Source organism: Homo sapiens, chromosome 15, assembly GCF_000001405.40.
Source record: "Homo sapiens chromosome 15, GRCh38.p14 Primary Assembly".
Classification (NCBI taxonomy): domain Eukaryota; kingdom Metazoa; phylum Chordata; class Mammalia; order Primates; family Hominidae; genus Homo; species Homo sapiens.
Genome location: NC_000015.10, coordinates 64,279,919 through 64,306,086, shown reverse-complemented (window position 1 = coordinate 64,306,086; position 26,168 = coordinate 64,279,919). Strand labels below are relative to the sequence as shown.

At 38.5% G+C, this 26,168-nt stretch overlaps 1 protein-coding gene across 4 annotated transcripts in view; it reads left to right on the top strand.

Annotated features, from left to right (window-relative positions):
• Positions 1–26,168, top strand: part of CSNK1G1 (casein kinase 1 gamma 1) — a 190,649-nt gene that overhangs the window by 50,087 nt on the left and 114,394 nt on the right. For all 4 annotated transcript variants that reach the window (NM_001329606.2, NM_001329607.2, NM_022048.5 and 1 more), the window contains exon 2: positions 5,364–5,768. In NM_001329606.2, coding sequence (NP_001316535.1) covers positions 5,588–5,768 — 181 coding nt within the window. In that variant the 5' untranslated portion in view covers positions 5,364–5,587. The remainder of the gene's footprint in view (positions 1–5,363; positions 5,769–26,168) is intronic.

The window sequence follows — 26,168 nt, the reverse complement described above, 5'->3', positions numbered from 1 at the left end:
ATTGTCAAACCCGAAGTCATTTAGATTTTTTCCTATGGCATATAGTAGGAGTTTTATCATTTTGTGTTTTACATTTAGGTTGTGATCCATTTTGATTTTATTTTTGCGAAAGATGTAAGGTCTGTATCTAGATTATTTTTCTTTATTTGCAAATATATGTCTAATTGTTCTAGCACCATTTGTTAAAAAGACTATCCTTTCTCCATTGAATTGCCTTTGCTCCTTTGTCAAAGATTGGTATGAATATATTTGTGTGAATCTATTTCTGGGCTTTCCATTCTGTTCCATTGATTTATTTGTGTTTTTTTTTTTTTGCAATATCACACTGTCTTGAGTACTGTAGCTTTATAGTAAGTTTTTTTTTTGTTTTTGTTTTTGTTTTTTTTTTTTTGGAGACAGGGTCATACTGGCACTATCATAGCGCACTGCAACCTTGAACTCCTGGGCTCAAACAATCCTCCCAGTTCTGCCTCCTGAGTAGCTGGTTCCATAGGTGTATACCACCTTGCCCGGCCAATTTTTATTTTTATTTTGTAGAGACAGGATCTCGTTTTGTTGCCCAGGCTGTTCTTGAACTCCTGGGCTCAAGTGATTCTCCCCACTGTGGCCTCCCAACACACTGGGATTACAGATGTGAGTCACTGCACCTGGCCTTTTGTTTTGTTTTGTTTTAGCTTAAATGCATTTCAAGCCTTGTATTGGTACTCAAATTGTCCTACAGTGTCTTTTAATTTGTCCTATAGTTATTGATAGTTTTATAAACACACATTCATGTGTGCACTGGAGCACACAGATATCATTTTTGCTTAATGTTTGCTAAATACTTATTCTGGGTATGATACTGCTCTTGAAATTTACCCTGTGTTTTAAACATCAGGTTAGGGTTTTATCTCATTCTTTGAAAAGCTTACAATTGGAATGACAGATGTTGGTACAAAAACCAGTGGCAACCCAACAGAAGGGGAAATTTGTTGGGGTGTTTCTTAGAAGAATTTTTATCGTTGACCAACATAATTTAAAAAAAAAAGACTTATAAGGAGAAAGATTTTTGGTTTTGCCCTATTATTTCTGTTTTGGACAGTAGGATGGGAAGTGATGCCTGAAGCCGAAACTTGTGACCAAGAAACAGCAAGCATGAGGACCAAAAGCAATGTGTGGTGGATGAAGAAGTAGTAGATCAGAAAGAGCCTGGTTTGCTTTTGAGTTTCTCATACACTTACCATATGATCCAGCAGTCCTATACCTATAAACAATTTCATCATAAGTTGTGTAAGAAGAGAGATTTAGAAGCCTGGCAATCTCTCTTTTGATTATTAACAAAAACCCAGGGTGTTTTGACTTTGAAATTTAAATATTTATGTACCTCACTTTTGATAAAGCCAATATATGAGAATCTGAAATATACAAACAGTAAATTAGTGAAACTTTTTTTGATGCTTTTATAATATGACTTAATTTTCTTTTAGACTTCATGTAACCTCCCATATACTGTTTTACATGAATTTAAGTAGAGTTCAAATGATAAGCCAAAGAGTTTGTAATTGAGCAGTTTATAATTGAGCAGTTGTAATTGAGAGTGATAAAGAAACAGGATTTTAAAAAACTTAGTAACTTTAATTTCTTAAGTGAGAGATGCCACATAAAGTAGCATTGAATATTATTCATCTTTCGTTTTCTTTCCTTTTTTTTTTTTTTTTTTTTTTGAGGTGGAGTTTCGCTCTCGTTGCCCAGGCTGGAGTTCAATGGCGTGATCTCAGCCCACTGCCCCCTCCGCCTCCCAGGTTCAAGCGATTCTCCTGCCTCAGCCACCCAAGTAGCTGGGATTACAGGCGCCTACCACCATAATTTTTTTTGTATTTTTAGTAGAGACAGGGTATCACCATGTTGGCCAGGCTGGTTTTGAACTCCTGACCTCAGGTGATCTGCCCACCTCGGCCTCCCAAAGTACTGGGATTATAGGCATGAGCCACTGCTCCTGGCCTCATCTTTCATAATTATAGATTGAACAATGCTTATGTCCCATGCATAGATTAGAAAATTGACACAGCACCTTTAGTGTCAGTTTTTGTCATGGTTGTGGGAAGTAAAGTGATTGTTCTGTTCTACAAGTAGGTGTTATGAACATTTTCCCCCAGCTGAGTGAGATTTTTGGCTTTTTTTTTTTTTTTTTGGACAGGGCCTTGCTCTCACCCATACTGGAGTGCAGTGGCACGATCATGGCTCACTGCGTCCTTGAACCTCCCATGCTCAAGCAATTCTCCAACTTCAGCCTCCCCAAGTCACTGGGACCACAGGTGTGCGCCACCATGCCCAGCTATTTTTTTTTTTTTTTTCTTGAGACGGGGTTTTGCTCTTGTCGCCCAGGCTGGAGTGCAATGGCATGATCTCGGCTCACTGCAACCTGTCTCCTGGGTTCAAGCAATTCTCCTGCCTCAGCCTCCCAAGTAGCTGGGATTACAGGCATGCACAACCACGCCTGGCTAATTTTTTTGTTTTTAGTAGAGATGGGGTTTCGTCATATTGGCCAGGCTGGTCTTGAACTCCTGACCTCAGGTGATCCACCCGCCTTGGCCTCCCAAAGTGCCAGGATTATAGGCATGAGCCACTGTGCCCGGCCCTAATTTTTAAATTTTTTGTAGACATGGGGTCTCCGTATGTTGCCCAGGCTCATTTCAAACTTCTAGGCTCAAGTAGTCCTTCTACCTTGGCCTCCCAAAGTGCTGGGATTACGTGGATGAGCCACCATGCCCAGCCAATTTTTGGCTTTCTATAGGGTTTTTTTTTTTTAATTTAATTTTTAATATTTTTAAATTTAATTTTTAATTTTTTTTTTGTTTTTTTTTTTAGAGACAGGGTCTTTCTGTGTTGCCCAGGCTAGAGTTCAGTGGCTATTTACTGGCATGATAATAGCACATTCCAGCCTTGAACTCATGGGCTTGAGCAGTACTCCCATCTCAGCCTCCCAAGTAACTGGAGACTATAGGCACATACCATTGCACCTGGCTTCTATGGGTTTTTAACCTGACAAATACTGTGTGTTCTTCTAATACATACATGTAAGTAAACATGGATAATGAGGGCTATGTGTGATTATTCCATCTAATGTTATACTAGTCTAAGTGCAATGGAAGAAATTAGTGCAAAGTATTATAAAAATAACATCCATCTGTTGGAAAAAACAGTGAGCAAAAATGAAAAATATGAAGAGAAATAGGCAATGTAATATAGTTTCCAAATCTTTATAAATGAGGCTATTGTAGTGATAATTTTTGAAAATGTGTGAGTTCATTGAATACTTATAAATTGACTGAATTGGGCCAAGACACATTCTGCCTCTGTCCTCATATTAACTTATAATGGAAGGAAGTATAGTTGACAGTCTCACGTATAGACATACTCCCAACAATTATGATATTTTTTTCTCTTTCTTTCTAATATCATTTGAGGGATTTAGGCAAAAGACAAGGATAACCGGGATAGTGGATATACTTGAAAATAGGAGAAACAATGAGGAAATATGAATTCTTAATGTTGTTCATGTAGGAAGTTCAGTAGTTGCTGACCTCCTTTGATCGCTTTGATTTTTTTTTCCTTTACAGAATATACATTATAAATGTAAATCTATTGTAAAGCAAAGAAAACAAAAATGAAAAGCAGTTTATTTAAACTATAATAAAGCAATCAGAGGCCAGGCATGGTGGCTCACGCCTGTAATCCCAGCACTTTGGGAGGCTGAGGTGGTTGGATCACCTGAAGTCAGGAGTTCGAGACCAGCCTGGCCAACATGGTGAAACCCCGTCTCTACTAAAAATACAAAAAATTAGCTGGGTGTGGTAGCAGGCACCTGTAATTCCAGCTACTTGGGAGGCTGAGGCAGGAGAATCGCGTGAACCTGGGAGGCAGAGGTTGCAGCTAGCCGAGATCTCGCCATTGCACTCCAGCCTAGGCAACGAGCGAAATTCCATCTCAAAAATAAATAAATAAATAAATAAAGCAAACAGATTGTATTATTGGATTATGTGCCCACTTGTACAGTCAGCTGACAGCTTTTTACCTGTTACTTTAGTAGGGAATTACAGGTCCTCAGGAAGTTTAGAGTATAGGTGTCTTTGCTTTGTTGTATAATTGGTGATAATAACCAAACATTTGACATTTGTTCTAATTCTCTTAAGTTTTCTTTCTTTCTTTCTTTTTTTTTTTGAGACGGAGTCTCACTCTGTCACTCAGGTGGGAGTGCAGTAGCACGAGCTCGGCTCACTGCCACCTCCACCTCCTAGGTTCAAGCTATTCTCCTGCCTCAGCCTCCCGAGTAGCTGGGATTACAGGTGCCTGCCACCACGTCCAGCTAATTTTTATATTTTTAGTAGAGACAGGGTTTTGCCATGTTGGCCAGGTGGTCTCAAACTCTTGACCTCAGGTGATCTGCCTGCCTTGGCCTCCCAAAGTGCTGGGATTACAGGCGTGAGCCACCACACCTGGCCTTCTTTTCACTTAAGTTTTAAGGAAAACATTTATGAAAGTGAAATATAAGTGTGTGTTTAGTATGTGATTGGTGATAGCAGTATTTTTTTTTTTGTTAAGAATACTCACATGGATAATCAAATATAGCATCAAAATTATCTCATTGCAAACATTTGTGTTGGGCTCAGTCCTGAATTTGGACACTGCAGAATTCTGGTAGAGATGAATGTTACGCTTAAGATTTTTTTTTTTTTTTTGCTTTATTTTCACTTTGGGGTTCTGCAAAGGATCTCTTTTTGGCACTCTGTCATTGCATACTCAGCATACAGCAAAAACCACCAAAAGTTTAGCTTTTCAGAACTTTAGGACTACTTAATACCAATAGAGTTTTGGAAGTTCCTTCATAGAGGTTGTCTGTGTTGATTGGTAACTGAAGATTACATAATTCTTGCTAGTGCTTGGTAAATGCTTGGATAGGGGAATGGGGGAGTGAATAGTCTAATTTCTTATAAGTTTTGGCGAAATTAAAAGGAAGAGCTTAAAATTAAATCATCCTCAGTTTCTTTAACTTGATTTTAGCACTGCTCTGTATTTCTGTTAGCCAGTGATGAAAAACAATTGTCTTTCTTTTTGGTCATAGATACATTACTAGAAGAAAGCATTCTATATTAAAGGCTTGTGTGTTTCTGTAGCTTCTATGGTTTGCAGCCTACTGAGCTTATGATACTATGTGAATAACTAATCCAGATGGTTAAACTATTGGAGGATAGAAAACCAAAACCCATTTCAGAAGCTATGCATTTTGCTCACCTTTGGATAGGATTCATTCTAATTGGTAGTGACTTTCTGAATTTGTTTCAAAATTTAATTTTTAACTACATGTTTTCTTGATTTTTACCTAGGTTACAAGATGTTCACCTAAGATTGAGACCTAGTGACTACATTTCCTACGGGAACAAATAAATGGTTTTTCATCTCCCGGAGATACATTACAAACAAATATGGTGCTAAAAGAACTCCTTACCTTTCTCTGACTACAATTTATTTGGACATACTTTTGTATTGAAGAGAGGTATACATACTGAAGCTACTTGCTGTACTATAGGAGACTCTGTCCTGTAGGATCATGGACCATCCTAGTAGGGAAAAGGATGAAAGACAACGGACAACTAAACCCATGGCACAAAGGAGTGCACACTGCTCTCGACCATCTGGCTCCTCATCGTCCTCTGGGGTTCTTATGGTGGGACCCAACTTCAGGGTTGGCAAGAAGATAGGATGTGGGAACTTCGGAGAGCTCAGATTAGGTAAGCACTTGGTTATGTCAGTGACTTCTACTAACAACAATACCTATGATAAGCTTTGGTGTGTTTCAAGACAAGCCGTTTATAGTTTTACAAGAAATTTTTCTTAAGGAGAACCTGTTGTTAAGAAATAATTTGTGAAGGGGCACTATAGTCATTATCAATTATTTGTTATCCAAGGCTCATCTCTCTTTATGTGTGTGCGATGGGCTTTTAAGTTTTCTACCAGTTCTGAGATTTTCTGATGAACATAGAGTTGCATACAGATATCAGTAAAATGCAGACTCTGATTTAGGATGTCTGAGGTGGAGCCCCAAATTCTGCATATTTTTACAAATTCCAGGTGATGCAGATGCTGTTGGTCTTTTAAGAAGGACATAAGGCCTTGGTTTAATTCAGACTCTGCCCCTGAAAAGAAAAGAGTAAATCCTTACTCAGTAATACCCAGGCTTAGTCTGCAAGGATATACAGTACATCCTGTTTGGAGAAATTTTCCAAAAGATAATTTGTTTGCGTTTCTTCCTGGAGTTTCCAGCATTAGAATTAAGTTAGAACTCCAAGGAGAAGTTAGGCAATTTTATTTCCCAACTAAGGCAATGGATTTTCTATTTCAATTATGAATTTATGGGTGAGATGGAAAATAATGACAAAATTAATCTGTCTAAAAATGTGAGATTGGGAAGAAGGTACATTGGGTATTTATATATATATATAAAATTTTTTTTTTTTTGAGATGGAGTCTTACTCTGTCGCCCAGGCTGGAGTGCAGTGGCGCGATCTCGGCTCACTGCAAGCTCTGCCTCCCGGGTTCATGCCATTCTCCTGCCTCAACCTCCCAAGTAGCTGGGACTACAGGCATCCGCCACCACGCCCGGCTAATTTTGTTTTTGTATTTTTAGTAGAGACAGGGTTTCACCATGTTAGCCAGGATGGTCTTGATCCTCTGACTTCGTGATCCGCCCGCCTCGGCCTCCCAAAGTGCTGGGATTACAGGCGTGAGCCACCGCGCCCGGCCATTTATATACTTTTTAATGGCTCTCCCTTGATGAGTGGGATAGAGAAAATAAAAGGCCGTATAAATATATGAAGTTGGAAATTAGCCTGGAGAATGTGGAAAGGTCATCTTTTAGGCTAAAGTGTTTTCTTTTCCTTCATAGCTCTTGAGACTGTGGATTAATGTGAAGACTCATTGTAAGAAACTTTGGCCCTTTGGGGGGAGTGGTGGGAGGGTGGGAACATAATGTAATTATGTTTGTTACCTCTGCTACTTCTTTTTCTTTTTGAGATGGAGTGTTGCTCTGTCACCCAGGCTGGAGTGCAGTGGTGCGATCTCAGCTCACTGCAACCTCCTCTTCCCAGGTTCAAGTGATTCTTGTGCCTCATCCTCCAGAGTAGCTGGGACTTACAGGCATGTGCCACCATGCCCAGCTTATTTTTTTTTTTTTTGTATTTTTGTGGAGACGGGCTCTTGCCATATTGGCCAGGCTGGTCTTGACCTCCTGGCCTCAAGTGATCCACCCGCCTCGGCCTCCCAAAGTGCTGGGATTACAGGCTGAGCCACTACGCCTGACCACCTCTGCTACTTGTGATGGTCCTGCATAGAGAACATGGACAAAATCTTATCTCTGATCCCCCATAGAGAGCCTTGGAGAAACATCACTATACTAGCCAGAGACCATTTGAATTTAAGAATGATGAGAATGGATTTATTTTTACTGTTAGAAGGCTGACAACCTGGAAATTCAGGACTTAATTAGGATAATGAAAGGATCTTTATATTTAGAATTGTGTTCGGGTTACCAAAGCCAGCAGATGCTACTTACAATACGAGTAAGATGTGTAATTACTGCTTTACTTTCTAGCAATCACAGAGTTGCTTTAACGAATAGTTCTGTGAATATTTCTTTATGTCATAAATTGACTGTAACATCACAGTACTACTTGGATGGATTAAATAATTATGACATAAACATCCATAAAATGATTGCTAAGAGGCAGTTTCTAAAGCATCTAAATCTTTGAATTCTCAAAACATCAGACAATTGTTTCATTTCTGTGAAAGTGAAGAAAAACCTTGGTGAATTAAAAGTGGAAATCTGTTTAATCACTGAAGTCTAGATTTGTATTATAAGTTTACGTGGGAAGGGAAAAATTCATTCAGTTAAAAGCATACATTTATAGCCCATATATATTTTCAGAGTAGTATTGTGTTTTGTTTCCTCTTTGAATCTGAGATAATTTTGATGTTTCTCATTTGGACTTGCCTGTAGTCAGAAGAACTTGTCTTTCTTTTCATGTGCTTTTACTCTTCTCTGCTTATCAAGTTTTCATTAGCCCTGGGACCATACTGTTATGGCCTTGTATCTAGAAAAGATACTTTCAGAATTATCTGGCATCTTCCTGACAATAGAGTGGGCTGCATACCCCATTCCGTCATTTTCTTGTTCTAATATTAGCGAGGAGAAGATTGTAAACTACAAAATTCCAAAGTCAAGGCAGGTGCAGTCAGCCTACATCATGGCTACCACCTACAAAGCTCTGCTTCTCTAAACTAATTTCCTTTCCTAGACACACAGTCTGTCAAACAGCCAAGTGCATTTCTTCTTATTCTTTTTTTTTTTTTGAGAGACAGGGTCTTGCTCTGTTACCCGCCCTGGAGTGCAGTGGCATGATCATAGCTCACGCAGCCTCCAACTCCCAGGCTCAAGCGATCCTCCTACTTCAGCCTCCTTAATAGCTAGTGCATAAGAACACGCCCAGCTAATTTTTTTATTTTTAAATGTTTTGTAGAGATGATGTTTTGCAGGCTGGTCTTGAACTCCTGGCCTCAAGCGATTCTCCTGCCTTGGCCTTCCAAAGTGTTGGGATTACAGATGTGAGCCGCCACACCTGACCAACCGTGTGCATTTCTGCTTCAGAGCCTTTACACTTGCAATTCCTTCTGCTTGCAGAATTATTTCCCTAAAATTTTGCGTAGTGGGTTGTTTCTCATCCTTTAGGCCTCAGCTTATGTCTTACCTTCTCAGAGAAACATTCTATCACTTGTTCCTCATTCTCATTTAAAATAGCACGTTTCTTCTCTAGCACATCCTGTCTCGTCAAACTGCTTTATTTTATTCATTGCATTCATCACTATCTGAAATGACCATATGTATGTTTCCCTATTAATTGCCTCTCCTTACTTGAATATAAGCCCTTTAAAGGGCAGGGATTCTTTCTGTATTGTTTACTGTTATTTATGAGATGGAAGGATAAAAAGCTGATGAATAGGAAGAGGGGGGAAAATAAAGCATACTTTCTTTGGGCTCCAGGTTTATGTGGGGGTGGTGGTAGATAGTAGACCTATCGGTTCCAAACAGCAAAAAAAAAAAAAAAAAAAAAAAAGTAACGATAGTGCATTTTGGTTCTCTGCAAATGTTTCCACCCCATTATACAGTTTTCTTTTTTTTTTTTCTTTTAGATGGAGTTTTGCTCTTTTTGCCCAGGCTAGAGTGCAGTGGCACAATCTCGGCTCACTGCAACCTCTGCCTCCCGGGTTCAAGTGATTCTCCTGTCTCAGCCTCCCAAGTAGCTGGGATTACAGGCGTGTGCCTCCATGCCCGGCTAATTTTTTATTTTTAGTTGAGGCAGGGTTTCACCATGTTGGCCAGGCTGGTCTCGAACTCCTGACCTCAGGTGATCTGCCCACGTCAGCCTCCCAAAGTGCTAGGATTACAGGCGTGAGCCACTGCACCCAGCCTTCATCATACATTTAACAACTATTTCTTGAATATTTACTGATACTAGACTCTGGGAAGGATAGAAATAAGAAGATATAGTTTTTGTCTCTACAAATACCACAGTCTAGTGGTAGACAGAGAAAAACAAATTGCAATACAAAGTGATAATATAGCAGATTGGGGGCTGGGTGTAGTGGCTTATGCCTGTAATCCCAGCACTTTGGGAGGCCAAGGCAGGCAGATGACTTGAGCTTAGGATTTCAATACCAACATGAGCAACGTGGCAAAACCTCGTCTCTACAAAAAATACAAAAATTAGCTGGGTGTGGTGGTATGCACCTGTAGTCCTAGCTACTTGGGAGGCTGAGATGGGAGGATGGCTTGAGCCTGGGAGCCTGATGCTACCATGAGCCAAGATCACATCACTGCACTCCAGCCTGGGCGACAGAGTGAGACCGTGTCTCAAACAAACAAAAAACCAGATTGTATGGAAACTACATTGGCAGAGAAGGTTAATAAAGGCTTCAAAGAGGAGGTATGATTTGATGATAGGACAGGATTTCTGCTGGTAGACATAAGGAAGAAGAGCTTGTGCAGGATACACAATCACTAGATACTGTGCAAGTGCCCAGCATATCACAGCAGCATTTAGTTATACATGACTGGGTCATAGGATGTGAAGTGAAAGAAAAGTAATAGAATGAAGCTTTTAGGTAAGTTGGGACGAAATTGTGAAGTGTTTGCATATATTAAAGCATTTGGACTTTATCCTGTAGGCAATGGGGTCGAATCATCAGGAGTTTTACAACAGAGTGACATAATCTAGTTTATATTCCAGAAAGAGAATTCGGGTTGTATTGTAAGATTAGATCAAATAGGAAAGAAGTTGACATCTTGTAGATTTTGCTCTAATTGTAATACTTATCATGTTGTACTTTATTCTTCCATTTCTCTCTCCCAAGATAGGTGTAAGGGTATTACTTTGCTTTTTAGTCCTCATATTCTAATTCCTTTCACTGTGTGTGGTATGTAATGGGTACTCAAGAAAGGCTGAATTGTCCAGGTCAGAAGTAGCAGGGCCTTTGGTCTTAGCTCTGAAAATGGAAGTGAGATGGAGAGAGGACAGGGTAAATTAGAAATTTTAGACATAGACTTTAGGCAGGATTTAGTCACTAATTATTTGATGGGAAGAAGTCAAAGATGACTAAATGTGCCAGCTTGAAGAGACCTTATAAATGAGGAAGATGTAAACCCATTTATGCCGGAAGCTGCAAATTTTTTTGTGAAAAATCAGACCTTGGTGATGACCTCGAGCAGTGTATATAAATAACTCCCACCAGCCTAGCGTTCCAATAATGGAACACTAGGCATAAATGAGTTAATTGAGATAGTAAATATAGGACTAGGGAGAGTGGTTGGGAAGGCAGGTAAGATAGAGTTTGTGAATATTTGAGGACTGGGTGACACATATGCAGAAATGCATATCTGAGACTTAGAAAGTTAGGCTTGAGATAGGGATTAAGAAATCACACCAAACTAGAGATGGGGTTTCACCATGTTAGCCAGGATGGTCTTGATCTCCTGACCTTGTGATCTACCCACCTCGGCCTCCCAAAGTGCTGGGATTATAGGCATGAGCCACCGCGCCTGGCCACCCCCCGACCCTCTTTTTTTTTTTTTTTTTTTTTTTGAGACGAAGTTTCACTCTTGTTGTCCAGGCTGGAGTGCAATGGCACGATCTTGGCTCACTGCAACCTCCGCCTCCTGAGTTCAAGCGATTCTCCTGCCTCAGTCTCCCAAGTAGCTGGGATTACAGGCACCTGCCACAACGCCCAGCTAATTTTTTGTATTTTTTGTAGAGACGGGGTTTCACCATGTTGGCCAGGCTGGTCTTGAACTCCTGACCTCAGGTGATCTGCCTGCCTTGGCCTCCCAAAGTGCTGGGATTACAGGTATGAGCCACCACTCCTGGCCCTTCCCTATCTTTTTAAAATGAGCCATGTGTATTTTGTAATCAGCAAAAAGTAGTAATCAAAGCAAAACAATTTCATTAAAGCAAATTTTTTTAAAAAGAAAATACACTTATTGCTTAAAATTTTTTTTTAATTCTACTTTAGAGGTGTCTGTGGAGATAACCAGTAATGATGGTTTAATTTTCTACAGCTCAAAAATGTGTATTAGGACATATTTTAGAAATGCAATCAAATTGTGCTCTAAGCTTCCTCTTATGGCTGGGCGTGGTGCCTCATGCCTGTAATCCCAGCCCTTTGAGAGGCCGAGGTGGGCGGATCACCTGAGATCAGGAGTTTGAGACCAGCCTGGCCAACATGGTGAAACCCCATCTCTACTAAAAATACAAAGAATTAGCCGGGCTTGGTGACGGACGCCTGTAATCCCAGCTACTCGGAAGGCTGAGACAGGAGAACCAGTTGAACCTGGGAGATGGAGGTTGCAGTGAGCTGAGACTGCACCACTGCACTCCAGCCTGGGAGACAGAGTGAGACTCCGTCTCAAAAAAAGAAGCCTCTTTTTATTGCTTAATAGAGCATGAACATCTTGTTTCAACTTAAATATATCTCATCAATTTTAAATATTTCTATAGTATTCAATTTAGCCATTATCAATATACACAAAAATTATTTTGTATTTTAATACTATAATTAATACAGTACTCCTGCAGTCCCCAACTTTTTTGGCACCAGGGACCCATTTCATGGAAGACAATTTTTCCATGTACCAGGGGTGGAGGATGGTTTCAGGATGAAACTGTTCCACCCTAGATCATCAAGTATTAGATGTAGGCTAGATCCCTCACATGCACAGTAATAGGGTTTGCACTCCTGTGAGAATCTAATGCTGCCACTGATCTTTCAGGTGGCACTCAGGTGGTAATGCTTGCTTACCCACTGCTCACCTCCTGCCATGCAGCCTGGTTCCTAACAGGGCCACGGACTGGCACTGGTCTACTCGATCTCCTTGTATTTAAAGTTGGTTTAATTTCTTAGACTACATCCTGGAAGCGTACTTTTTGTGTCAAAGGATATGTACGTTTGCAATTTTGTTACACATTGTCAGTTTGCCCTCCAAAAAGATGTTTCACTTTGTGTGTATGTGTGTCCTTGTGCTTATTTCCTCCAGTGCTTCAGAAATCTTAAACAATATCAAGAATCTTTTCATCTATGACAGTCTGATAGGGGAAAATGGTATTACTTAAATGTGTATGTGTTCATAGGTGAAGTTAAACATACTTACACATATTTGCTTATTTTTTTAAAGAGTATTTCTATGTGGCCTTTGCTCATTTTCAATGGAAAGATTATTTCTGTGGAGTCTTTTGTGTACTGCCTCAATGAAAGGAGAATTATGAAGATTTAAGACAGAAGGGAAAATTGATGGATAGTGATTGTGTAGGTAGGAGGACATGATGGGATGAAAACAGATTTTATAGATTGATACTAACTGAAAATCATGGGGAATCTTGTGAGAACTTTCTCATTTTTAAAGTTTTGAGCCTTCTGCTGAATCAGGCCTGGAAAGAATCATGTAAACATTAAAATAAAATTATTTTCCTCTAGAGTTAAGAAAATATACATCCTCAATGTACAAATAATTGCTGATGTTTTTCTTAGTTGCAAGAATAAGTAGATAGATGATATTTATTTATTTATTTATTTATGAGATGGAGTCTCGCTCTATCACCAGGCTGGAGTGCAGTGGCGCGATATTGGCTCACTGCAACCTCTGCCTCCCAGGTTCAAGCAGTTCTCCTGCCTCAGCCTCCTGAGTAGCTGGGATTACAGGTGCCCGCCACCATGCCCGGCTAATTATTTTTTGTATTTTTTTAATAGAGACAGGTTTCACCAAGTTGGCCAGGATGGTCTCTATCTCCTAAGCTAGTGATCCAGCCACCTCGGCCTCCCAAAGTGCTAGGATTACAGGCATGGGCCACTGCACCTGGCTGGTGATATTTCTTTCACATCCACATAGGGGTGCACGTATGTTTATGGGAGACCTGTTAGACTAGAGAGACAGGCGTATGATTTTAATAATATTCATATTATCCTTTTGAAGTAGGATAGAGTGAGAGGATGTTTTTACTTGCATACAACAAAATGGAGGCACAACAAATTAACCTTTTTGATCTTTTCCATCTTTGGTGTCTGATGAAATATGCAAAAATGCATTAACACAGGATACTTCTGACAAAGGTAAATAAATTGGCTAAGGGTAGCAGCTTGTTCTGTGACACTCCTGCATGGCTTCTAAAGTAAGACACTTATTTCTGTGATTGATGTAGGATTTATATGACAGGCTCTGCATATTGTTCTTTCCTTGTCTGAATTACTGAACTGTCACTTGTGAACTTAAATTGGAACTTTTTTTTTTTTTTTTTGTGACGGAGTCTCGCTCTGTCGCCCAGGCTGGAGTGCAGTGGCTCGATCTTGGCTGACTGCAAGCTCCGCCTCCCAGGTTCACACCATTCTCCTGCCTAAGCCTCCCGACTAGCTGGGACTACAGGCGCCTGCCACCACGCCTGACTAATTTTTTTTTTTAATATGTGTATTTTTAGTAGAGACGAGGTTTCACCATGTTAGCCAGGATGGCCTCGATCTCCTGACCTTGTGATCCACCTGCCTCGGCCTCCCAAAGTGCTGGGATTACAGGCGTGAGCCACTGCGCCCTGCTTTTATTGGAACTTTTAACTTCTGCTACTAGCTTTTCTTTTTTTGGCAGTTGTAATTATTAACAATTTACAGATGAATACTATCTAAAGCAGTTCATTTCATATTATATCCCACAGTCTTAGATCCATTATTTTCCACTCCAAGTCAATGAGAAAAGAAAAGTGAGCAGGCAGAACTCTCCATGTTATCTGTTTTATACATTTTATACATTTGAGTTTTCAATAAGATTTTGTTTGAAAGGTATGATTCTGCTGCTTTAAACATTTTTGAAAATCATCTGAGAGAATGCAGGCTTAAGATGAAACATAATTTTATTTTATTTTATTTTTGAGATGGAGTTTCACTCTTGTTGCCCAGGCTGGAGTGCAATGGCATGATCTTAGCTCACCGCAACCTCCACCTCCTGGATTCAAGCAATTCTCCTGCCTCAGGCTTCTGAGTAGCTGGGATTACAGGTGCCCACCACCACACCCAGCTAATTTTTTGTATTTTTAGTAAAGATGGGGTTTCACCATGTTGGCCAGGCTGGTCTCAAACTCCTGACTTCAAGTGATCTGCCCGCTTCAGCCTCCCAAAGTGCTGGGATTACAGGCGTGAGCCACTGCACCCAGACCAAAATGTAACATAATTTAAAGGTATTTCTTCTCTAGTTCAAAATGAAGCCATTTTAAAATCAAATTTTTGCTTTTAAGTTAATAGTTTCTTAGAAAATCATGGTATTTTAAACAAATGAAAGTGTATCAGCCAAACACCTAATTAACCAGAAACATTGATATATATTTGTAACCTTGTTAAAGTTTTCTTATAAATTTACAAATTTTTAGGTTCTGTGGATGGAACAAACTAAAACAAGTTTTAGAAGTCATGTCATTCTTCTGCTTAAGTGATTAAAAATAGGAGTCTTGGCTGGGCATGGTGGCTCACGCCTGTAATCTCAGCACTTTGGGAGGCCAAAGCAGACAGATCATCTGAGGTCAGGAGTTGGAGACCAGCCTGGCCAACGTGGTGAAACCCCGTCTCTACTGAAAATACAAAAATTAGCCAGGCATGGTTGTGGGCGCCTGTAATCCCAGCTACTCGGGAGGCTGAGGTGAGCTGAGATCGTGCCATTGCACTCTAGTCTGGGTGACAAGAACGAGACTCTGTCTCAAAAAAAATAAATTAATTGAATTAAATTAAATTAAATTATAACTTTAGATAAAATGCATTCTAATTTTTTTGTTGTTATGTGGATATATTCCCTAATGGTGAAGTCTGGGTTTTTTTGTGTAACTATCACCTGAATAATATGCATTGTATCCATTAAATAATTTCTCATTTCTCACCTCTTTCCCACCCTTTTAAGTCTTCAGTGTCTATTATTCCACACTCTGTGTCCATGTGTACACATTATTTAGCTCCCACTTATAAGTGAAAGCATGCATTTTTTGATTTTCTGTTTCTGAGTTGTTTCACTTAAGTTAATGGCCTGCAGTTCCATCCATGTTGCTGCAAAAAACGTGAAATTTTATTATTTTTTTAAGGGCGGAATAGTAGTTCATTGCCTGTCTGCCTGTGTGTGTGTGTGTGTGTAAAATGTGTGTGTGTATGTGTATGTGTATATATATATATAAAATCATCCATGAGGGACACTTGTTTCCGTATTTTTGGCGATAAACATAACATATGCAGGTGTCTTTTTGATGTAATGATTTCTTTTCCTTTGGGTAGGTACCCATTAGTGAGATTGCAGGATCAAATGGTGGTTTTAGTTTTTTGGGAAACTTCCATACTGTTTTTCATAAAGGGTGCACTCATTTACATTCCCGCCAACAGTGTATAAGTGTTCTCTCTTCTCTGCACCCATGCCAACATCTTTTATTTTTTGACTTTTTAATAATAGCCATTCTTAGGAGTGTAAAAGGCTTATTGGAAAAACCAACAAAACAAAAAATAATAATAATAGCCATTCTGACTGGTATAAAATTATATCTTATTGTGGTTTTAATTTGCATCTCTCTGCTGATTAGTTCTTTTGAGCGTTTTTTCATATGCTTCTTGGTCATTTGTATGTCATTCAAATGTCATTCAAATGAAGTCATTTGTATGTCTTCATTTGAAAAATGTTCATGTCCTTTGCTCACTTTTAGATGAGGTTATACGGTTTTTTGTTATTGTTTGTTTAAGTTCCTTGTAAATTCTTACAATTAGTATTGTAAATACTATAATATCCTTGTAATTGGATATTAGTTTCCTGTTAGATGCAGTTTGCAAATATTTTCTCCCATTCAGCAGGTTGTCTGTTCACTCTCTTATTTCTTTTGCTGTGCAGATGCTTTTTAGTTTAATTAAGTCCCATTTGTCTATTTTGTTTTTGTTGTGCATTTTAATTTTCTTGGAAGAATATCAAATGTATATGAGATTCTTGTTTGTAGTAGTATCGTAGTTTAAATTTCTTTTGGAATTACACCCTAGTTTAACTTAAGCACAATTTGTTAAGGTTAAGCAGTTTTAACAGATCTTGGAGAAGAATTATTTCTGTCAATAGCATAATCCATCAAAATAAAGTAGAAATGAAGAGTTCTAACCACATTAGGTGACACACAGTCTGCATTGCATTAATATGGTAATTTTAGAAGTGTCACAGATACAATACTTGCAAGATTATGCATTGACATCTTGAATGGTTAACCAGAAGAATGTAATGGTAAAATTTCCAGGCTTGCCAAACAATTCCGGAATTTTTTTTTTTTTTTTTTGATACAGAGTCTCACTTGTTCGCCCAGGCTGGAGTGCAGTGTTGCAATCTCGGCTCGCTGCAGCCTTCATCTCCTGGGTTCAAGTGATTCTCGTGCCTTGCCTCAGCCTCTGGAGTGGCTGGGGTTACAGGCGTGCACCACCACGGCCGGCTAATTTTTGTATTTTTAGTGGAGATGGGGTTTCGCCATGTTGGTCAGGCTGGTCTCAAACTCCTGAGATCAGGTGATCTGCCCACCTTGGCTTCCCAAAGTCCTGGGATTACAGGCATGAGCCACCATGTCTGGCCACAATTTTTGAGGAGGACTATGAAAGTAGGATGGTTATGGGCAACAGAAGTTTATAGAAAGATGTGTTTATGAGGGTGATTCAGAAGCAGTATTTACATGATGTCATCATGCATCCTAAGGAAAAAACTGTCTGAACTTATGGCCTACTTTTCCAGAAGGCGGCAAAGCTTTTGTCAAAGAAAGTGGAGCTTACTGCCAGCTGTTGTGGGCTTTCAAAGAGCAGGTGATGCTGGATTGATTCAATTTTTTTTTTCTATGTTGGGGTTACTAGGACAAGAGGAAATATATATATATACACATGCACACAAACACACACACACATACACACATATATATATATAACTTTATAAAGTATCATGTAATATTTTTTATAATTTATCTTTAATTCCAATAACTAGGTTACATAGATTCTAAAGTTCTGAATCCTATAGGCAAGTGGTTCAATTATTTTATCCATGTCGTCTAGATACCTCCTTATTTCTAAATATTATTTCTTAATTTTTTCAATATTAGATGTTGTTATTGATTGTCTCACAGATGCCATCCCTAATGACGTACATACCTTGCCCATATTCTCCCAATATACTTATGTCATATTTTTTGGTTCAATAATTTTTTTACATTTACAGCTTTATGGCTGTGGAAGTATTGTTTACAACCAATCTATGAGAGCACTGTTACTGTATTTCCTTTTTAGTATGACTCCATCATTCCTTCCCTCAGAATTAAAAATTGCTGATACTTGATTTTTAAAAAAAATTCTTAGTTATCAATATACCTTTCATTAATTTTTTTTCCTCAAGTCCAACAATTAAAAAATTTGTCATGATATTAGGTAATTCTGTGTTTAGATTCCTTTTCTGCTGGATGGCTTAGTTTTGCTAAGTCATTTACCATTTGTTTATTCAATTCTCATCTTCCAAAATGTTGACATCTCTAGTCTACTGTTTCCTCACCTGTTCTCTTTGTCCTTTCTTGTTTCCTTTGTCCTTTCAGTGGGGTTTTGGAAATAAATAGAGCTAAATGTCTCAATTTTTTTCTGCCATGTTAAACTAGATGTCTATGTTATACATTTTTATTTCAGCAGGGCATTTATTTGACATACTTTTGTGTATTCTGGTAACATATAGAAATGTGCGGTGACTGAAAAGATAATTAAGTAGATTTGTCATTCCTTTAACCATCTTCATAAAAGAGAATGAGTTAATGGATCATTGCCCTCATTGATGCTAAACAGTAGAATTCTGTATTTTGGTCCTATCCACTTCAACAGTGAATTGGATCAAACCTTTGAAGAACATACTGATGAAAGCTGTACACAACACAGTGCTTTGGGTGGGGCAGCTAATATGTATTGCTGGTTAACAGAATCAAGATTCAGCATTATATTAAATAAGCAAAGAGTTGAACAAAAGTCCTAACCATGGTTCACAAACCAGTTCTACTGTACAATTTTAGATTTGACAACTAGATTAGCAAAAATTAATATGAAAAAGATGACTGTAAGTTTAGAATGAGACAAGAATGGTCCCAGGCTTCCCAAAAGTTTATGGTAACTTTGAGTAACTTAATATGTGAAGTCCAGATCAACAAAAGTAGTTAAGTTTTAGACTTATAAGGAACTTTAGCATTGTCTAGTTCAACTGTCATCGTTTTAAAGATGAGAGAAATTAAAAATTAAGTGACTTGGTCTAGGGAGAACAACCAGCTTGTCACAGAATTGGAACTACAGCCCAGATCCAAGACATCACAAGTAGCTATTTCTATTATATGCCATGTAGTCTTACCGGTTACTGGTTAAATGTATAGTTGAAATACCACAAGCCAGAAAAAAATAGTTACAAAAGACATCAGAATAAATGTCTAATTATAATACAAAGATGATAGTCATTAGCATTTAATATAATTACATGTTACCAGAAAAAGAAATATAAATAAAGTATAAAATGATAACTAATGATCTTTTAAGTGACACCATCTAGTTTTTATGGTGGATCATCCCCAACATTAATCGTCAGAGATTTTCCAGGGGGTGAGGAGGAAAAACATTGGTAAATTAATTATTGTGAAGTTTAATATTATACTATTGCAAAGTAAATTTAGAGCAGAATCAAAGTGGAGGATGTTATAAACACTATGCCTCTTTCAAATAAAAGGCTAGGGGTAGATTTCCATAATTACCTAGCCATTTATTCATTTAACAAATTGTATTGAGCATCTGGTTTTTTGGCAGGCATTTAGCTAGGCCCTGGGGGTACAAAGATCATAAATAAGACATGGACCCTGCTTTTGCCAAGATCATTATTTGGGGATTCATACTTAGAAATTAGTAACTATACTGCAATGCAGTAAGTAAAATAATAGAAGAAATATATAAGATAATTAGCTTATATATATTTATAATTCTAAGTGTTTTTTGATTAAAGGACTATTCCAGGTAGTTTGGGTTAATGTTTGTACTGTGAAACTAGAAGTTAACATGTTAACAATATGAGTTAACAATATATTGTTAACAATATTGTTAACAATAACATGTTAACAATATTGTTAACAATAACATGTTAACAATATCAGCAGAGTGGGGTCCTTTTTGAGGGTTGTAATGCTACTTTTTATACTTGTTAGTCTTCCAATGTAGCTTAGAAAGAGTGATATCTCTGCTGGAATTGGCAAATGGCAGAAAACCTGCACAAATAAGACACTCTGAGTTGAACCTTTAAGGCTCGAGCTGGGCAGTAAGGAGAAAGGGCTGGGGTCCGGGGGTGAGAACGTGAAAGAACATTCTCAAAAGAGGAAGCCGCACCATACAAAAGGCATGGAGGTGTGAAACACAAGAAAATGTAAAGAACCTCAGCACTGCTGGAAAGCATGGGTGACTTAAGATCCACAGGGGTCGTTCAGTGGAATTGGTATTAGGAAGTGAGGCCGGAGATGTGAGCAAAGCCTGTTCTTGATCATGATAGAGATTTTGGACTTTATTGTGTAGGCCATGAAAAAAGGAGGAATTACAAGTCATCGTTTTTTTTTTTTCCCCTTCTTGGAGAAGATAAATTAACTAGAGTGATCTCACTCCCCTTTCCTCCAAAATGTAGTTTTTCTGTGCTTTTAGAAAACATGGAGCAATCTGTTTTTATCCAGAGGTGTTCATAGCTAAAGAATAGTAGGATTTTTTTCCAGTTTATCAGGGCAAAAAGCTGAAACAGTAAATGCTTTGTGATTTAAGTAATTCTAAATGTTTTTTGATTAAAGGACTATTCCAGGTAGTTTGGATTAATGTTTGTTTGTACTGTGAAACTAGAAGTTAACATGTTAACAGTATCTCAGCAGAGTAGGGTCCTTTTTGAGGGTTGTAATGCTACTTTTTATACTTGTTAGTCTTCTTTATTTTATAAAGTACTTCAGCAAATAGATTAACCTAAATGATAAACAGTTTTTTTGGATTTGAACATCTAGACTATAGACAGGTTTAGGATAATTCTAATTTATGGAGCTTTTTTGTTTTGTTGGTTTGGGCAATTTTTTTTGGTAGGCAATATTGCAATGTCATCACAAAAATTAGAACAAAGACTTTGTTCAGGTATGTGTGTACCTTGATATAAATGTTGGATATACTTTGGGATTCGGCTTTTTTATTAACTACATTGCTATGTGGTTTTCATGATTATAATTTTAATGGCTACATTCTATTTCTTCAAGTGGAGTACTAGAACTGTTAACCATAAAATTGGGCTTCCAGTTAAATCTAGATTTTATTATAATAATAAATAACAATAAACATTTTCATGAAAATAGAGGTTATTATAAGAAATGTATCTTCCTCTGTAGCTTCTGGATAAATTTTATTTTGTATAGATTGCACAGAAAATTTATACATTGATGATACAACTATATTTTTCAATAGTTTTATTCTACTCTAAAATATTTGTATTGAGGAGTCAAGGCTAAATGTGGAATTTTTCACAAAATTTGTATACAGTATAAGTTAACAGTAATATGAATTAGAATTATAAATTATATTTGCTGAAATTTTTAGCTGTGTCTTAGTAAAACTTTCATATGATATCACTTGTGTTAATAAGCTCCAGCTGTCTGGAACAAGGCTGAGGACTAGGAAACAAATCAAAATAATAATAAAAATTAAAAATATCTTAGCCAAAATAGTTCCCTAGTAGACATTTAAGAGATACTAATATTATTCTCATTAAAAGACATAATATGTTTCTGGGGATAGATCATGAGAGAAGAGGTCTGAATCAGTATTACACAAAAGTATATATATTTAAATCAAAAATTAAAAAAATTAAAAATTTCACTTACATTAGCATCAAGAATAAAATACTTAGGAATAAATTTAATAAAATGAGTACAAAATTTATACTCTGAAAACTATAAAGTATTGTCATAGGGAATTTAAGATCTAACTACATGGTAAGACATTCCACATTCATGGATCTCAAGATTTAATATTGTTAAGATGGCAGCACTCCCCAAGTTGAAGTACAGATTCAACACAGTCCTTATCAGAATCTCAGCTGGCTTCTTTGTGGAAACTGAAAGCTGATTCTAAAATTCATACGGAATTTCAAGAAACCCAGAAGAGCCAAAACAATCTTGAAAAAAGAAGAACAAAGTTGGATGACTCATACTTTGGATTTCAAAATTTACTACAAAGCAGACAGTGTGGTGCTCCCATCAGGATAGACATATAGACTGGTAAAATAGATTTGACACCTACCCATGAATCTCTAGTCAATTGCACTTGACAGGTGTGTCAAGACCATACAATGGGGAAACAATAATTATTTTGACAAGTGGTATTGGGACAACTGGATAGCCACAATCAAAAGATTCAAGTTGGACGCTTACCTCATACCACAAATAAAAAATTAACCCAAAGTAGATCAAAGGACTAAATGTAAGAGTCAAAACTATAAAAGTCTTAAAAAAAACAAACATAAGGATGAATCTTACTGCCCTCATATTTGCCAGTGGATTCTTAGTTATGATACCAAAAGCATAAACAGTAGAAGAAAAAAACAGATAAATTGGATTTCATAAAAATTTAAAACTTTTGTGTGACAAAGAACACCATCAAGAAAGTTAAAAGTTGGCTAGGTGCAGTGGCTCATGGCTGTAATCCCAGCACTTTGGGAAGCAGAGGTGGGTGGATCACTTGAGGTCAGGAGTTTGAGACCAGCCTGGCCAACATGGTGAAACCCCGTCTCTACTAAAATACAAAAATTAGCTGGGTGCGTTGGTGTGCTTCTGTAATCCCAGCTACTCAGGAGGCTGAGGGCAGAGGTGTGTGGATCACTTGAGGTCAGGAGTTTGAGACCAGCCTGGCCAACATGGTGAAACCCCATCTCTACTAAAATACAAAAATTAGCTGGGTGTGTTGGTGCGCTTCTGTAATCCCAGTTACTCAGGAGGCTGAGGCAGGAGAATTGCATGAACCCGGGAGGCAGAGGTTGCAGTGAGCCAAGATCACACCACTGCAATCCAGCCTGGGTGACAGAGTGAGGCTCCGTCTCAAAAAGAAAAAAAAAAAAGAAACTTAAAAGTCAGTCTACATAATGGGAGAAAAATATTTGGAAATTATGTATCTAACAATGGGCTAGTATTCAGAATATATAGAAGACTCTTACAACTCATTCATAAAAAGACAACCCAATTTAAGAATAGGCAAAGGATTTTTTTTTAATGGTCACTTTAGATACACTTTTTGTTTGTTTTTCCATAGGTTATTGGGGTACAGATGGTGTTTGGTTACATGAGTAAGTTCTTTAATGGTGATTTCTGAGATTTTGGTGCACCCATCACCTGAGCAGTGTACACTGCACCCTATCTGTAGTCTTTTATCCCTTGTCCCCCTCCCACCCTTCTGCCCAAAGTCCATTGTATCATTCTTACTATAAGCCAAAGATTTGAATAGACTTTTCTCCAGAAACAATGTAAGGATGACTAGTAAGCATATGACTTGATGCTCAACATTGTTAGCCATTGGGGAAATGCATATCAAAACCACAGTTACCATTTCATACCCTCTAGGGTGACTAGAATCAGATAACAATTGTTGGCTAGGGGGGAAGTGTAGAAATCTGAGTCTTTATACACTGCTCTTGGGAATGTAAAATGCTATAACCACTTTGGAAAACAGTCTGACAATTTCTCAAAAAGTGGCAGCACCCCAAATGTTTATCACCTGAAGAAATAGGTCAACAAAATGTGGTATTATTAGCCCATAAAAATGAATAAAGATACATACTACTATAACATAGATGAATCTTGAAAACAGGTTAAATGAACAGATCCAGTAACAAAAAGACCATTGATTTTGTGATTCCATTTCATATGAAAAATTCATGGGAGACTGAGAGGCGGGCGGATCTCTTGAGGTCAGGAGTTTGAGACCAGCTTGGTCAACATGGTGAAACCCTGTCTCTACAAAAAGATATAAAAATTAACCAGGCATGGTGGCACATGCCTGTAATCCCAGCTACTTGGGTGGCTGAGGCACTAATTGCTTGAACCCGGGAGGCTGAGGTTGCAGTGAGCTGAGATCGTACCACTGTACTCCAGCCTGGGCAACCAACTGAGACCCTGTCTCAAAAAAATAAAAAATAAAAAATTAGGTCAGGCAATTGTGTAGAGATAGAAAGTAGAGGCTGGGCATGATGGTTCATGCCGGTAATCCCAGCACTTTGGGAGGCCAAGGCAGGAGGATCACTTGAAGCCAGGCATTTGAGACCAACCTGGACAACATAGCAAGACCGCATCTCCACAAAAAATGTTAAAAAAAAAAATTAGCCAGGCTTGATGGTGCATGCCTGTAATCCCAGTTACTTGGGAGGCTAAAGTGAGAGGATTGCTTGAGCTCAGGAGGTTGAGGCTGCGCTGAGCCTAGATTGCGCCACTACACTCCAGGCTGGGCAGCAGAATAGACACTGTGTTTAAAAAAAAAAAAAAACTCCATAAAATTATAAAATTTGCCATCTCAATCATTTTTAAGTGTACAATTCAGTAGTGTTTAGTATAGTTATATTATTGTGAAATACATCTCTAGAACTTTTTCTTTTCTTTTTTTTTTTTCTCGGCACAGTCTCGGCTCACTGCAACTTCTGCCTTTCAGGTTCAAGTAATTCTCCTGCCTCAGCCTCCTGAGTAGCAGAGATTACAGGCGCTCGCCACCACGCCCAGCTAATTTTTGTATTTTTTAAATAGAGATGGGGTTTTGCCATGTAGGCCAGACTGGCCTTGAACTCCTGACCTCAGGTGATCCAACTGCCTTGGCTTCCCAAAGTCCTGGGATTGCAGGCTTGAGCCACCGCCCCCAGCCTAGAACTTTTTCATCTTGTGAATTGGAAACTCTATGCTCATTAAACAACTCCTACTTTCCCCTCTTCCCAGGTAACTACCACTCTACTTTCTCTTTTTATTTTTTTTATTTTTATAGAGATGGAGTCTCACTATGTTGCTCAGACTGGTCTGGAACTCCTGGGCCTTAAGTGATCTTCCTGCCTCGCCCTTCCAAAGTTTTGGGATTCCAGGTGTGAGCTGCTGCACCCAGCCCCTACTTTCTGTCTGTATGAATTTGACTACTTCAGATATTTGATAAAAGTGGAATCATACAGTAGTTGTCTTTTTGTGGCAAGTTTATTTTACTTAGTATAACGTCCTCAAGGATAATAGTATGTATCAGAATTTCCTTCCTTTGGCCCGGCATGGTGGCGTATGCCTGTAATCCTAGCACTTTGGGACGCCGAGGCAGGCGGATCATGAGGTCAGGAGATCGAGACCATCCTAGCTAACACGGTAAAACCACGTCTCTACTAAAAATACAAAAAATTAGCCGGGCGTGGTGGCGGGTGCCTGTAGTCCCAGCTACTTGGGAGGCTGAGGCAGGATAATGGCGTGAACCCAGGAGGCGGAGCTTACAGTGAGCCAAGATTGTGCCACTGCACTCCAGCCTGGGCAACAGAGTGAGACTCTGTCTCAAAAAAAAGAAAAAAGAATTTCCTTCCTTTTTCAAGTTGAATAATCCATTGTATGTATATATCATATTTTGTTTAGCCATTCACTCATCAATGGACATTTGGGTTGCTTCTATCTTTGGGCTATTGTAAATGGAACTAAGTTGGCTGTTTCTGAATGCTTAGCATAAGACACCAACAGAATAGAGTTTTGATTTGGAGGGAGAAGCAGCAGTTCTGAAGATAAAATATGAGAAAAGGGGCCGGGCGCAGTGGCTCACGCCTGTAATCCTTAACACTTTGGGAGGCCGAGCCGGGCAGATCATGAGGTCAGGAGATTGAGACCATCCTGGCTAACACAGTGAAATCCTGTCTCTACTAAAAATACAAAAAATTAGCCGGGCTATTTTTATAGAACCGCTTGAACCCAGGAAGCTAAGGTTGCAGTGAGCCAAGATTGCGCCACTGCACTCCAGCCTGGGCAACAGAGCAAGACTGTCTCAAAACAAAACAAAACAATACAAACAAAAAAAAAAAGGTAAGTCTGAGTGGAATGACTACCTATTTTGCCCTGGTTGTCCTGGGTGGTCAGTGACGATTGTTATATCAGCTCAACTCACAGCTTCCAAAGACTTCTTGAGAAGGGCTGTCTTTTTTCAACATGCTGCTTGGTGAAATGCAAAGTGAATTTGATAAGCTTATTACCCTTATTCAGAAAGAAAGGGCTTGAACAAGCTGAAACCTTTATGTGTGTGTGTGCGCGCGTATATACGTGTACTTCTTTTTAATTAACAGTATCGTCCTCTAATGTAGGAGAACTTATGCTTTCTTATTTATCATTTTAGTAAAACTAGGTCATGTCCTCATCCAGTGTATGAATATACCACATTTTGTTTATGCATTTTGTTTATGGATATTTTATTTGTTTCTGTTTTGTTTTTTTTTTTTTTGAGATGGAGTCTCGCTCTGTTGCCCAGGCTTGAGTGCAGTGGTGCGATCTCGG